Source organism: Homo sapiens, chromosome 1, assembly GCF_000001405.40.
Source record: "Homo sapiens chromosome 1, GRCh38.p14 Primary Assembly".
In the NCBI taxonomy this organism is placed as follows: Eukaryota; Metazoa; Chordata; class Mammalia; order Primates; family Hominidae; genus Homo; species Homo sapiens.
The window spans coordinates 32310012-32326226 of NC_000001.11; the positions used below are offsets into that span (position 1 = coordinate 32310012).

Consider the following 16215-nt stretch of genomic DNA (forward strand, 5'->3'; position numbering starts at 1 on the left):
AGTCTCTCAAACATGTTTTATTTAACTCAAAGTATTTTAAGGGCATTAGGTTAGTGGCCAACCTTTAAAAAATGAAATTGTCCAGAAAGGATCTGGCAGTTGGGCCCAAATTCCCTCATGGCAGCCATCAGCTAGAGCTATGTAAATAAAGATTGTCCTCTGCTCACCAGTGTTTTGTTTATGTTTGTTTTAAGCTAGCTAAACTGACTGGCGCTTATGAGTGATTTGAGTTTGGTGTTCCCTGGCATACAGCACAAAATATTTAGGTGAGTGTAAGGGGGTGAGCAGGGATCAGATTATTCTGGTTTTCCAAGCCAGGTTAAAGAGTTTGAACTTGATATTTTGAGTAATGATGCCTTTGAAGTGTTTTTAGAGGGGAGTGACATGATTCAGTTTGCATTTTAAGACTGATAACTCTATAACAGGCACAGTGACACACGCTTGTAATCCCAGCTACTAGCAAGGCTAAGGCAAGAAGATCACTTGAGCCCAGGAGTTCGAGACCAGCCTGGGCAACACAGGGAGATTCTGTCTCTAAATAAAAAAGAAAAAGACAGGCCGGGCGCAGTGGCTCACGCTTGTAGTCCCAGCACTTTGGGAGGCTGAGGCGGATGGATCACCTGAGGTCAGCAGTTTGAGACCAGCCTGGCCAACATGGTGAAACCCCATCTCTACTAAAAATACAAAAATTAGCCGGGAGTGGTGGTGGGAGCCTGTAATCCCAGCTACTCGGGAGGCTGGGGCAAGAGAATTGCTTGAATCTGGGAGGCGGAGGTTGCAGTGAGCCAAGATTGTGCCATTGCACTGCAGCTGGGTGACAAGAGTGAAAGTCGGTGAAAAAAAGAAAAAAAAAATAGAGAGACAGAAAGAAACAGGGAGAGGGAGGGAGAGAGAGAAAGACAAAGAAGGAAGGAAGAAAGGAAGGAAAGAAGAGAGAAAAGAAAAAAAAAGAAAGAGAGACAGAAAACTCTGCCTGTAGTATTCAGCATAAATTAACAATGGTTAAGAAGGAGGCTAGTATACCAGTTAGGAGATTGTTGCCAGAATCCAAGTCAAAAAAAGTGGTAGCCCAGGATGGAAGTGGACAGATTTGACAGATAATACATTGGTGGTAGTTTCAAGAGAAGTTGAATGTAGCGGATGAAAAAAGAAGAATCAAAGATGATTCTTGCCTGGTGTGGTGTGGTGGCTCATGCCTGTAACCCTGGCGCTTTGGGAAGCCAAGGCCAGCAGATCACCTGAGGTCAGGAGTTTGAGACTAGCCTGGCCAACATGGTGAAACCCTATCTCTACTAAAAATACAAAAATTAGCCGGGCGTGGTCGCGGGTGCCTGTAATCCCAGCTACTCAGGAGTCTGAGACGGGAGAATCGCTGAACTTGGGCAGCAGAAGTTGCAATGAGCCGAGATCGTGCCATTACACTCCAGCCTGGGTGACAGAGTGAGACTCTGTCTCGAAAAAAAAACAAAGATGATACCCTGGCTTCGATCTTGAACAACTAGGTGGTTGGTGCTGAGAATAGGAAACCCGGGAAAGAAGGACATAGGAAAAATAGGGTAGTAGATGCAATCAATATTATGGAGGCATAATGAGAGAGATTGGCAATGGATTGAAACAGGAAGGCAAAAAAGGACAGAGTTTAAAATGACACTTAGGTTTTCAGCCTGAGTGGATGTTGGTATCATTAACAAAAATAATGAAAGAGAACTTTTGGAAGTTAAGTGGAATTTGAGTGCTTCTAGGCTCTCAACAACAAATTGTTGAGTCCAGTTGAATTTGAAGTGCCTTTAGGGTTTGTGGGTGGAGCAGACTGAGAAGCTATTTGAACTGTGAATCTGGAGCTCAGAACTAAGATCAAAATGGAGTTTGTGCAGTCATCTGTGTAGAAGGGATAGCCAGACCAAAGTTTTGATGACATTAGGAAGAGAGTAAAGGGCTTAGTATAGTAAAAAAACAACTTGGTATTTGGAGCTAAGTCTTTTTTCTTTCACTGTGGGTGTTTTGGTTTGCCTTTTTAGAAACAGGGTCTCACTGTGTTTGCCCAGGCTGGCCTTGAACTCCTGGGCTCAAGTGATCCTTACATCTTAGATTCCTGAGCAGCTGGGACTACGGTGCATGCCACTGCATCTGGCTTCACTATGGCTGTTTTTGATAAAACAGTATCTGTCGTTCAGTCTTATTATGCCTCATTAAATTAAGTGAGGATTAAATGAGAGAGTCAAAGTACCCAGAGCCAGATCTCTGGATTCCTTCCAGTTTACCAGCTGTGTAACCCCAGGCAAATTACTTAACCTCTCTCTTCTATAGTTTCCTCCCTGTGAAATAAGGATAATAATAGTATGAATTTTTTATTTTTATTTTTTCTTTGTGATGTAGTTTCACTCTGTTGCCCAGGCTGGAGTGCAGTGGCATGACCTAAGCTCACTGCAACCTCTGCCTCCTGGATTTAAGCGATGCTTTGCCTCAGCCTCCCGAGTAGCTGGGTTTACAGGCGCCCGCCACCACACTCAGCTAATTTTTTATATTTTTAGTAGAGATGGGGTTTTACCATGTTAGCCAGACTGGTCTCGAACTCCTGACTTCAAGTGATCTGCCCCGCTCAGCCTCTCAAAGTGCTGGGATTACAGGCGTGAGCCACTGTGCCTGGCTATGAACTTTTTTTTGTTTGTTTGCTTGTTTTTTGAGACAGAGTCTCGCTCTGTCGCCCAGGCTGGAGTGCAGTGGCACAATCTGGGCTCACTGCAACCTCTGCCTCCTAAGTTCAAGTGATTCTCATGCTGCAGCCTCCTGAGTAGCTGGGATTACAGGAGCCTGCCACCACGCCCAGCTAATTTTTGTATTTTTTGCAGAGATGGGATTTCGCCATGTTGGCCAGACTGGTTTGAAACTCCTGGCCTCAAGCAATCCTCCCACCTCGGCCTCCCAAAATGCTGGGATTATAGGCGTGAGCCACCGCACCTGGCCATGAACTTTAAAAGGTGTTTTTTTGTTTTGTTTTGTTTTTCAGAGATGGGGTCTTAGGAATCTGAACACATTCTGGCCTGGAGAGATTGCCCAATAACTTATTTTATTTTATTTATTTATTTATTTATTTATTTATTTGAGATGGAGTCTCGCTTTGTTGCCCAGGCTGGAACGCAGTGGCATGATCTCAGCTCAATGCAGCCTCTGCCTCCGAGTTCAAGCAATTCTCCTGCCTCAGCCTCCTGAGTAGCTGGGATTCCAGGCACCTGCCATGACGCCCGGCTAATTTTTGTATTTTTATTGGAGATGGGGTTTCGCTGTGTTGGCCAGGGTGGTCTTGAACTCCTGGCCTCAGGTGAGCCACCCACCTCGGCCTCCCAAAGTGCTGGGATTACAGGTGTGAGCCACTGCGCCTGGCCCCGATAATTATTTTAAAAAAGAGAAAAAGACAGGGTCTCACTATGTTGTCCAGGCTAGCCTTGAAGTCCTAGGCTCAAGCGATCCTCCAGGGCTTAGATCTTTAAAAGGTTGTTGTAAGAATCATATGAGATAGCGTTTAAAGTGCCTGAAAGAGTGACTGTCACAGAGGAAACAATAAATGTTGGCTGTGTATTGAAAATGCTTTATAAACTGCAGAAAATATGGCAGGTTCTCAAATAACATCACTTCGCTCAGCATCATTTAGTTATAACGTTGAGGAGAAAAATAACTGATTCCTGGCATGGCCACTATCTGTATGGTGTTTGCATATTCTCCCCATGTCTGTGTAGGTTTTCTCCGGGTACTCCATTTTTCTCCCACATCCCAAAGATGTGCATGTGAGGTGAGTTGGCATGTTTCCATGGTCCTAGTCTGAGCAAGTGTGGATATGGGTGTGAGTGCACCCTGTGATGGAATGGCGTCCTGTCCAAGGTTGGTTCCTTGTGTTGAGCTGCGGGACAGGCTCTGGCCACCCTTGGAAATGAATGATTGAATTCAAATTATTGTCAAGTAAAAATTCATAAAGTAGACAATAATCATACAGATGCACAACAATAAAAGATGTGATACAGAAACACTCAGCGAGCCTGCCATATTTGTTATTGTTCGTTTTTGAACTGCATGATGGTAGAAGGTTCTCCTTGCAATTTTAACTTTGCATACATTTATTATTTGATTTAACCCACCACCACAACAACCGCCATCACTCACTGATTCACCAAAAATTGGGTAAATAATAATGTATATATTTTTTGAGACGGGGTCTTGCTCTGTTGCCCAGACTGTAGTGCAGTGGCAAGATCACAGCTCACTGCAGCCTGGACTTCCCTGGGCTCAGGTGATCCTCCCACCTTAGCCTCTTGAGTAGTTAGGACTATAGGCAAGTGCCACCACAGCCAGCTAATTTTTTATATTTTTGTAGAGACAGGGTTTCACCACGTTGCCCAGGCTGGTCTCAAACTCCTGGGTTCAAGTGATCCACCTGCCTCAGCCTCCCGAAGTACTGGGATTTTAGGCATGAGCCACTGCACCCAGCCCAATAATGATCTTCCTTATTTTTATAAATATTTCTTAAATATAGAGATATTTCGCCGGGCAAGGTGGCTCATGCCTGTAATCCCAGCACTTTGGGAGGCCGAGGCGGGTGGATCACGAGGTCAGGAGATCGAGACCATCCTGGCTAACATGGTGAAACCCCATCTCTACTAAATGTACAAAAAATTAGCCAGGTGTGATGGCGGGCGCCTGTAGTCCCAGCTACTTGGGAGGCTGAGGCAGGAGAATGGTGTGAACCTGGGAGACAGAGCTTGCAGTGAGCCGAGATCGCGCCACTGCACTCCAGCCTGGGCGACAGAGCGAGACTCCGTCTCAAAAAAAAAAAAAAAAAAGGGATATTTCACATTTATTTCAGTATTTGATGTTTGAAGTGTTTTGGGTCTTTATTTAGAATTTTAGTGATGTTTTTGTGACAGAAATATGCTGTAGGAGCTTAAGTTCTTGTTTATATCAATTAGCCTATGGTAAAATTGGTTTCTTTATACATTGTTTTGCCTATAGTCACAATTTCCAAGAACCTGTGGATGACATTAAGTGAGGACTTTTGTTGTATTGGTAATTAGAGAGGCAGAGGGTCATGTTTGAAGAAGACCTACCTTTAAGGGATGGGAGGAAAAGGAAATAATTTTAAAAAGGGAAGGAGGAGTCAGAATGTTGGGATAACCAGGAAATTAGCTTGTCAAGGAAGTGTTAGTGGGGAGGATGTGATCAAAATTGTTGATGTGATGACTTATAAAGGATTTCCCATCTGTTTCAGTTTTCATTAGATACCCTTTTTTCGTGAACTCTTGGAGCCATTTTGTCCATAATTTTATAATACGTATATATACATATATATTTTTTTTAATTTATTTTTTTGAGAGGAAGTTTCACTCTTGTTGCCCAGGATGGAGTGCAGTGGCACAATCTCAGCTCACTGCAACCTCCACCTCCCAGGTTCAAGCGATTCTCCTGTCTCAGCCTCCTGAGTAGTTGGGATTACAGGTGCATGCCACCACGTCCAGCTAATTTTTGTATTTTTAGTAGAGACCAGATTTCATCATATTGGTCAGGATGGTCTCGAACTTCTAACCTCAGGTGATCCACCCGCCTCAGCCTCCCAAAGTGCTGGGATTACAGGCGTGAGCCACTGCACTCGGCCAGTTTTATATAATAATAAGTAATAATTTTGTAGGCCGGGCGCAGTGGCTCATGCCTGTAATCCAGCACTTTGGGAGGCCGAGGAGGGCGGATCACCTGAGGTCAGGAGTTCGAGACCATCCTGACCAACATGGTAAAACCCCATCTCTACTAAAAATACAAAAATTAGCCAGCGTCGTGGTGGGCGCCTGTAATCCCAACTACTCGGGAGGCTGAGGCAGGAGAATCGCTTGAACCCAGGAGGCGAAGGTTGCAGTGAGTCGAGATCATGCCATTGCACTCCAGCCTGGGTGACAGAGTGAGACTCCGCCTCAAAACAAACAAACAAACAAAAAAAAACGAAAAAAAAGGTCGGGCTTGGTGGCTCATGCCTGTAATCTCAGCACTTTGGAAGGCCGAGGCGGGCGGATCACGAGGTCAGGAGATCAAGACCATCCTAGCTAACACGGTGAAACCCTGTCTCTACTAAAAATACAAAAAAAATTAGCCGGGCGTGGTGGTGGGCGTCTGTAGTCCCAGCTACTTGGAAGGCTGAGGCAGGAGAATGGCGTGAAGCCGGGAGGCGGAGCTTGCAGTGAGCCGAGATTGCGCCACTGCACTCTAGCCTGGGAGACAGAGCGAGACTCCGTCTCAAAAAAAAAAAGTAATAATTTTGTAAAGCACCTTACAGTTTACAAAGAGATTTAACAACCTCTTCCAATTCTCTCAACTTCCCTGTGTGGTCTATGTTGTCCCTGTTTAGTAAATGAGGAAATGGAGGTTCAAGAGACAGTAACTTGCCTAAGCAACAGAGCTTGAGCTGCTGTAGGTCTTCTGATACTCTGTCTCCTTTGATAATCTTGTTTGCCTAGTTAGATTGTAAATTTCTTGAAGCCTGAATCTAACCAGTTATTTCTTTTTATTCTTTATAGCACCTAGCTCCATGCTGCGCAGGAAATATAAATATTCAAACTAGATTGACTGGACTGGCCGTGGTCAAAAATAACTTGCCCTTTCTCCCTTCTGCCCTCTAGCGCCCTCACAAAGCCAATGCTGAGGAGATGACCAAGTACCACAGCGATGACTACATTAAATTCTTGCGCTCCATCCGTCCAGATAACATGTCGGAGTACAGCAAGCAGATGCAGAGATGTAAGTCCATTCTGTTCCCTCACACTCTGAAGCCGCCAGTTGCATCTCCCTTTCCACTGTAGAGGCCCATTCTGCCGTCCTCGCACCTCCCATTCAGTGGACACCTGATTTCCCCTACCTCCTAAAGGTGCCAGAGTGCTTTTTCCCCTCAAGTCGGATTTTTCATGTTTCCTGATTTGTAAACGATAGAGGTAGTACTTTTTCTGGTTATGTTCACAACACTGTCCCAAGAGTACTGTAATTATTGTAGTGGAAAAAGCACTGACCTGGGACGGGGAGACAATAGATACAGTAAAATTTAACTCTAACTCTCAGCTGAGTGGGCAAGTCACTTCCCCTCAGATTCTTCTTTTGTAAAGTGGGCTGGGCCACATGATCTCTGATTTCTGTCCAACTGTAACTGTTTTGACTTAGTGGGTATTAATTGAGAATTTAGAGGCCACTCAGGACAGATTCTAGATGGTGTAATCTTTGAGATGAGGTGATGCTGCCCCTGATCCCTTGGACTTGAACTTCAGAGCAGGTCCCATCTTGGAAGCCACGCTTAGTTTGTAGGAATCGTGGGAATTATTTTAGCTGTGAGGGGGAAAAAAAAAGTATTCAAATTTGGGACAAAACTATCATACCTGACTTCCCCCTTGTGTTATTTTAGAAATTATCTCTTAGCACCTAAGACTTCATATAGTATAACAGCACTGTCCAGAAGAAGTTTTGATTAACTTATGACAGCTTATATGGAAGTGTCAGAAAATATGCGGCACTTGTTTGTTGCTGCTGACCACAAGGTAGTCTTACTCCCAAGGAAGAAAGTTATTTATAACTATTATTACAACTAATAATAACTGTACAGTGGTATTGATGGCAGAACCACAGAGACCTTCCTTGAAGCATTAAGCTTCTTTGCTACCGACAACTCCAGGAGCTGCCAGCTGCTGTGAGTGAGGTGTTTGCTCTCTGAATTGCAGGGTCTTATTTCCCTCCAAGATGAGGCAAATTCATGCCTTTCCTGTAGATGGCTTTAGAGGTTTCCATAACCCATTTAGGCCAAGGATCAGGCTCTACTCTCAGCACAGTGGGCTCTCACTAGAGGAGCAACTTGCTATTAAAGTAAGAAAATAAGCTTTCATGTCTTAGTTTGAATCCTTGGTTTCCTAGCCCCTCTGGTGTTATTTCCCGCCCCTGCCACTTTTTTTTGAGACAGAGTTTCGCTCTTGTTGCCCAGGCTGGAGTGCAATGGGGCGATCTCTACTCACCACAACCTCCGTCTCCCGGCTTCAAGCGATTATCCTGCCTCAGCCTCCTGAGTAGCTGGGATTACAGGGATGTGCCACCACGCCCGGCTAATTTTGTATTTTTAGGTTTCTCCATGTTAGTCAGGCTGGTCTCAAACTCCCGACCTCAGGTGATATGCCAGCCTCGGCTTCCCCAAGTGCTGGGATTATAGGCCTGAGCCACTGTGCCCGACCTGTTTTCCCTCTTTAAGAGGAAGACAGGACAGGCACAGCGGTTCATGCCTGTAATCCTAGCACTTTGGGAGCCCAAGGTGGGAGGATTGCTTGAGCCCAGCCAGGAGTTTGAGACCAGCCTGGGCAACATAGTGAGACCCTCATCTCTACAAAAAAATAAAAAAATTAGCTGGGCATGGCGGTGCACACCTGTGGTCCCAGCTACTCAGGAGGTTGAGGAGGGAGGATCTTTTGAGCCTGGAAGGTCGAGGCTGCAGTGAGCCATGATTGTACTACTGCACTCCAGCCTGGGCAACAGAGCGAGACCAAAAAAAAAAAGACATTAGTGCCTATTTCATAGTCAAGGATGGGGGAATAAGTGAAGATAATATATTTAAATATATATAATATGTCTACCCTCAATGAATTGCTTTTGCTATTTTTGCTATTGCATAATCACTTTTGCTATTATGACTTACTATTTTTATTATTTACAAACTTATCAAGGCAGACAAAATGCTATGCCCTGAGGAGTGTGCAGGTTCTGCTCTGGTGCGCCAATTTTTCCGAATCCAGCATTCTAAAGTTGTACATTAAAAAATTCAGTCTGGCTGGGTGTGGTGGCTTACGCCTGTAATCCCAGCAGTTTGGGAGGCTGAGGCAAGCAGATCACCTGGGGTCGGGAGTTTGAGACCAGCCTGGCCAACATAGTGAAACCCCATCTCTACTAAAAATACAAAAATTAGCTTGGTTTGGTGGTACATGCCTGTAATTCCAGCTACTCAGGAGGCTGAGGCAGGAGAATTGCTTGAACCCAGGAGGCAGAGGTTGCAGTGAGCCAAGATCGCGCCACTGCACTCCAGCCTGGGCGACAGAGCGAGACTCCGTCTCAAAAAAAAAAAATTCAGTCTGGGTGCCTATAGTCTCAGCTACTTAGGAGGCTGAAGCAGGAAGATTTCTTGAGCCCAGGAGTTCAAGGCCAGTCTGGGTAATATAGTGAGACCTGGTCTCTAAAAAAAATTTTTCTAATTAAAATAATTAGGTCTTGGATTTTTCTGTCATCAGAAATGGGGGCAGGAAGAATAAGCCTCTCTAAGAACTTCAGAGTACCTCACTGAGTTGATTTGTAGGGTTATGGAGGGTCAGAGTAGACAGAGACTTTAGATGTCACTTAACACAGTGCTTTATAACCTGGGGTATCTACCAAGACAGTAATGAGCCCTTTTTAAAAAAAGAATTATTTTTATTTTTATTCTTGTTTTTAGAGATGGGGTCTTGCTTTGTCATCCAGGGTACAGTACAGTGGCAAGATCATAGCTCACTGCAGCCTCAAATTCCTTAATCCTTAACTTGCCCTTTTAGAATATGTACCAATATCTAACCTAGGCGCTGGACATGGTAGCATGCACCTGTAATGCCAGTGCTTTGAAGGGCAAGGCAGGAGGGATAGCTTGAGGCCAGGAGTTCAAGACCAGCCTGGGCAGCATAGTGAGACCCCCATCTCTTATTTTATCTTAAAAAAATAAAAATAAAAAATTAGTTGTGTATGGTGGCACATGCCTGTGATTCTGGCTACTCAGGAGCCTGAGGCAGGAGGATCCCTTGAGCCCAGTTCAGGGCTGCATTGAGGTATGGTCTCATTTCGCCACCACACTCCAGCCTGGGCAACATAGCAAGAACTCGTCTCAATAAAAAAAAAACACACATGGCCAGGCGTGGTGGCTCATGCCTGTAATCCCAGCACTTTGGGAGGCCGAGGTGGGCGGATCACGAGGTCAGTACATCGAGACACCATCCTGGCTAACACGGTGAAACCCCGTCTCCACTAAAAATTTACAAAAAATTAGCCGGACGTGGTGGCAGGCGCTTGTGGTCCCAGCTACTCGGGAGGCTGAGGCACCAGAATGGTGTGAACCCGACAGGCGGAGCTTGCAGTGAGCCGAGATCACGCCACTGTACTCCAGCTTGGGCGACAGAGCGAGACTCCTTCTCAAAAAGAAAAAAAAAAAAACCCACACACACACAAAAACATCCCACACACCTAATCTAGGAAGTTATGCTTATGATAAGATCGAGTAAATCAGGTTTCCTTGCTTGTGGCTGAAATGTAATAAACCCTTTCTGGTCACTTTGAGAGCCTTGACCAGAAGTTCTGACCTAATATTTAGCAAGTGAAAATGGGAACACAAATAAATGCATTTAGGGGGCTTTTGGTGAAAACATGATAAAAGGGATTGGTAAAAAATTGGGAGACATTCTCATCCATTTTACAGACATGTAAACTTTCCCAGTCACACAGCAAGGTGATGGTAGAATGCAGAATGGAACTCTAGTCCCCCAATTCTGTAGTTTTAAAAAATATAGTGTATATAAAATATTTTAGATACACAGGCCAGGCAGGGTAGCTCATGCCTGTAATCCCAGCACTTTGGGAGGCTGAGGCAGGTGGATCACTTGAGGCCAGGAGTTTGAGACCAGCCTGGCCAGCGTGGTGAAACCCTGTCTCCACCAAAAGTACAAAAATTAGCCATGTGTGGTGGTATATGCCTGTAATCCCAGCTACTCGGGAGGCTGAGGCATGAGAATTGTTTGAACCTGGAGGGCAGAGGTTGCAGTGAGCCAAGATCGCGCCACTGCACTCCAGCCTGGGCGACAGAGCAAGACTCCATCTCAAAAAAAAAAAAAAAAAAAAAAAACAGAAAAAGAAAAAAACATATTTTAGACACACACAAAAAGCATCAAAAAATAATATAATGCACTTTGGGAGGCCGAGGCGGGCAGATCACGAGGTCAGGAGATCAAGACCATCCTGGCTAACACAGTGAAACCCCATCTCTACTAAAAATACAAAAAATTAGCCGGGTGTGGTGGTGGGTGCCTGTAGTCCCAGCTACTTGGGAGGCTGAGGCAGGAGAATGGTGTGAACCCAGGAGGCGGAGCTTGCAGTGAGCTGACATTGCGCCACTGCACTCCAGGCTGGGCAACAGAGCAAGACTCTGTCTCAAAAAAAAAAAAATAATAATAATAATATAATGAACATCCATGTGTGCCCAATACCCAGCCTGAGAAAGAAAACATTATCAATACAGTTGATGCCCCCTTGGGCATCTTTCCTTGATCACATACCCTTTCTCTCCCACTCCCCCAGCCCCCCACCCCATTACCAGCACTGCCAAGGTATAAGCACTATCCTGAGGTTAGTGTTTAATCTTCCCATCTCTTTGCAATGAGCATTTGACTGCCTTCTCTGCCTACGTCTGCTTCCACCTCTCACCCAGTATTGCTTCCCTTTAGTCTAAAGCTAGTGTGAGAATGAGAAAAGCGTTTATAGCAGAAAGAGAGAAAACCCATGGAAAAGTCTTCCCTACCCTCACAGATTAGCTCACATGAGTATCTGCTCTTCCATTTGCCCCCTTTCCATCTCTAATCACATAGCTTATTGACTAGGAATAAAAGGGCTGGTCATTTGAGCTACATGTTGGTTTGGTGCCTGAAGAAAAATATTTTTTTTTTTCTCACGTCCAAAACACCCATTCCTTCCCATGGAGGCTCCATATCCCAAATAAGAGTATAAACAAAGCTTTGGAAACGCAGGCAGGCCAAACTCTGTGCAGGAGGAAGTGGCCAGAGAGGGAAATCAGTTGCCAATGGATAAACAGCCGGGGCCCAGGGACCAAAGTTCTTATTTACACAGCCTCCCAGTGTTTACCCAGGAAGTGAGGAAGAGACCCACCCGCTGCACACTCCCTCATGCAGCCATGCTTCTTCCTCAGAGCACCGGATCTTGGCACCCTCCAAGTTTAGTGCAGAACCAGAGCTGGTAACTCTTGTGGTTATTGTAGATCTTGAGCTTCAACTGTGTCTTGAGATTTTACCAGCACAATCCAAACTGAGCTCTTCTGCTCTCACCCCAGGGCTGCTCCTTCCTCTACTTTTGGAAATCTTGATAACAGTGGGTACAGTAGAAGGCTGGGCAAGAGAATAAGTATGCAGCCCCACACCTCCTGCCTCTGACTTCCTGTAGCTCATTGATGTCTCAGCAGTTACTTTTTTTTTTTTTTTCTCCTGAGATGGAGTCTCGCCCTGTCACCCAGGCTGGAATGCAGGGGTGCAATCTTGGCTCACTGCAACCTCCACGTTTTGGGTTCAAGTGATTCTCCTGCCTCAGCCTCCTGAGTAGCTGGGATTACAGGCACATGCCTGGCTAATTTTTGTATTTTTAGTAGAGACGGGGTTTCTCCATGTTGGCCAGGCTAGTCTTGAACTCGTGACCTCAAGTGATCCACCTGCCTTGGCCTCCCAAAGTGCTGGGATTACAGGTGTGAGCCACCGCGCCCGGCCAGTAGTTACCTTTTCTGTAAGAGGAGATTTGGAGCTATAAAGTTCCTCTAGGTCTGTGAGTCTACAGCCTCCAGGTGTGCTTTCCTTCCTGTTTTCATTTCATTTGCCTTATTGTTTGCATATGTTTCCACATTATGTACTACTTGGTACTTTTACCCCATTAGGCCCGAAATAACTTTACTCCACTTGTCACTGTGAATGTAGCAGTAAGACACTGGGCTACGGGAGTCAAGACACCGGGACCCTGATTCTGGTTCTGCTACTGCCTGGTTTTATAACCTTGGGCAAATCACTTAACTTCTCGGTATCTGTTTGTTCCTCCGCACAGTGGGGTTGATATCTGGCTTGTCCAGCTCATAGAGTTGTTGTGAGGATCAAATGAGGTTGTATATGTGAAAGGACTTGGAAAAGGGCCGGGATATATTTTCACAGGCTTTTAAGACAGACAGGCTGGCTGGGCACGGTGGCTTATGCCTGTAATCCCAGCACTTTGGGAGGCCGAGGCGGGCGGATCACAGGGTCAGGAGTTTGAGACCAGCCTGGCCAACATGGTGAAACCCCGTCTCTACTAAGAATGCGGAAATCAGCCAGGTGTGGTGGCAGGTACCTGTAATCCCAGCTACTCGGGAGGCTGAGGCAGGAGAATGGCTTGAAACTGGAGGGCAGAGATTACAGTGAGCCAAGATCACTTCACTATACTCCAGCCTGGGCAACAAGAGCAAAACTCCGTCTCAAAAAAAAAACAGACAAACCAAAGCTTGAGGCTTGCATACTGCTTCTGCCATTTACTAACAGCTCACCTCTCTGAACCTGTTTCCCTACTTATTTATTTATTTATTTTTTTGAGACAGGGTCTCACTCTTGTCTCGCCCAGGCTGGAGTGCAGTTGCGCGATCTCAGCTCACTGCAACCTCTGCCTCCCGGGTTCAAGTGGTTCTTGTGCCTCAGCCTCCCAAGTAGCCGGGATTACAGGCAGCTGCCACCACACCTGGCTAATTTTTATGTTTTTGGTAGAGATGGGGTTTCTCCATGTTGCCCAGGCTGGTCTTGAACTCCTGGCCTCAAGTGGTCCTCCTGCCTTAGCCTCCCGAAGTGCTGGGATTACAGGTGTGAGCCACTGTGCCAGGCCTTGTTTCCCTACTTATAAGATGGGACCAAATCTTACCTCAGAAGCTTGTGTGAAGATGAATGATCTCGGGTATTTAACGCATGTAGCGCAGTGTCTGGCGTGTTGTACGTGCGCAGTGAACGATAGTTCTCTGGGTCTCTGTTCTTGCCCCTTGTTTGTCAGCTGGCGTGAGGGCCAGAGGATAAGTTTTTCTCCCTCAAGAAACGAACCAACATTTTCCAAGTTGCTAACTGCTTCTCCATATTAGATTTTTGTTAATTTTCTGACCAGTGGGTGAGGTGGGATATCAGTTTTGCTTGTTATAGATAATGGGCTAAGACCAGGTGTGATGGCACATGCCTATTGGGAGGCCAAGGCAAGAAGACTGCATGAGGCCTAGGGAACATAGTGAGGCTCTGTCTCTAAAAAAAAAAAAAAGAAAAAAAAATTAGCTGGGTATAGTGGCATGCACCTGTAGTCCAAAGTACTTGGGAGACTGAGGTGGAAGGATTGCTTGAGCCCAGGAGGTGAGGGTCAAAGCTGCTGCACATGAGCCATGTTTGTGCCACTGCACTCCAGCATGGGCAACAGAGCAAGCCCCTGGCTCTAAAAAATAAAAAAATAATAATGGGCTAAAGCTCAAAGATGTTAAACAACTTGATGCAGTCATACAGCCAGGAAGTAGAGCCTGGACTAGAACCCACACCTCCTGAATTTAAATTCTGTGTTTTTTTCCATCAGCTCATAAATATGTAAACTAAAGGAAATTGTGGAAACTAACCTTTTGCTTATTTCTTTCAAGTCAACGTTGGTGAGGACTGTCCAGTATTCGATGGCCTGTTTGAGTTCTGTCAGTTGTCTACTGGTGGTTCTGTGGGTAAGGAATATTCATCTTCTCCCCAGGGGTAGACTGGGTTGTTCTAGTGAGGTCTGCCTTTTAGGCTGCTATCCTAGTTGGCTGATCTGAAACCATGTAGAATGGTCCTGTGGTTTTTACTGAAGTCTCTAAAATGGCTGGTGTAGTGTCTCACACCTGTAATCCCAGCACTTTGAGAGGCTGAGGAGGAGGATTGCTTGAGGTCAGGAGTTCAAGACCAGCCCAGGCAACATAGACCCTCCTGTCTATAAAAAAATAAAATAAGTAAAAACAATTAGCCGGGCATGGTGACTCGTGCCTGTAGTCCCAGCTACTCAGGAGGCTGAGGCTTAAACCCAGTAGGTTGAGGCTGCAGTGAGTCGTGGTCACACCACTACACTCTAGCCTGGGCAACAAAGCAAGACCCTGCCTCCAAAAAAAAAATTTAAAAAGCCTCTAAAATGTCCCTCTGGTTCAGTCCCAGCCCAGGTTCAATCTCTGACATGGTACTGACAGGTGTCCTTGACTGTCCTTTCCTACTAAGAGATCTTATGTACAGGCGTTCCCCGCAGACCTCCTGGGGTTGTTAAGATGCTGTACGTAAAAGCAATTTGTGAACTGCAAAGTGCTATAAAAATGGAAGTGTCATCATCTGTGAATCTGTCCTATGAAAAAGTATGGTAATTACCTTTAGAGGTCAGAAATACTCCTCATGTATCTCCCACTTCCATTTGCAACTTTTGGGTTATCTCCAGGATTACTCTAAACGCTTTCTTAACAAATATTTATTTTCCTGTGATCCCCCACCAATATAATCATTGTGTCCATCCCCGCTGCCCCACCAATATAATCACAGAAAACAAAGAAGTGCACAGAAAAAAACACAATCACCCACAGTCACAGGGTTGGTGGATAACCTCTGTTACCATGTTGGTGTTTGTATGGCCATTCTTTTGTGTGTGTGTTTATATCTGTGTCACACATATACAACATCTATATTTTACAAAAGTGGGTTATATACATATCACATATATATGGTTTTATGCCTGCATTTCCTACTTAACGAAATTGTCTGTAGTTTTCTACAGCTTGCTTTCTTGTGGCTCTATGATTATTCCATGTTGTGGATTTACTTGAGTTGATATAATCTGTCCCTCTTCTTGATAATTTGGATCAATCTATGCTTTTATTGCTGTTAAAATCAACACTGCAGCTGGACACGGTGGCACATGCCTGTAATCTCAGCACTTTGGGAGGCTGAAGAGGGTGGATCACCTGAGGTCAGGAGTTTGAGACCAGCCTGACCAACATGGTGAAACCCCATCTATACTAAAAAATACAAAAATTAGCCGGGCGTGGTGGTGTGTGCCTGTAATCCCAGCTACTTGGGAGGCTGAGGCAGGAGAATTGCTTGAACCTGGGAGGCGGAGGTTGCAGTGAGCCGAGATCGCGCCACTGCACTTCAGCCTGGGTGACAGAGTGAGACTCCATCTCAAAAAACAACAACAAATTAACACTGCCACAAATGCACTTGCACACATGGGTGTGTATTTATCTTTTACTTCTTCTGGGACCTATTCGTGCTAGTGCTTTTTGACCTAGTGTATCAGCACTATCTTTGGTAATTTTTCTTTTTCTTTTTTTTTGAAATAGAGTCTCCCTCCATCACCCAGGCTGGAGTGCAGTGGCGTGAT

The 16215-nt window shown here is 45.3% G+C and overlaps 1 protein-coding gene across 1 annotated transcript in view; it reads left to right on the forward strand.

The window, feature by feature from the left end:
• Positions 1-16215, forward strand: part of HDAC1 (histone deacetylase 1) — a 41544-nt gene that overhangs the window by 17929 nt on the left and 7400 nt on the right. The window contains exons 3-4 of the mRNA NM_004964.3: positions 6654-6771; positions 14468-14542. Of these exons, the coding sequence (NP_004955.2) occupies positions 6654-6771; positions 14468-14542 (193 nt within the window). The remainder of the gene's footprint in view (positions 1-6653; positions 6772-14467; positions 14543-16215) is intronic.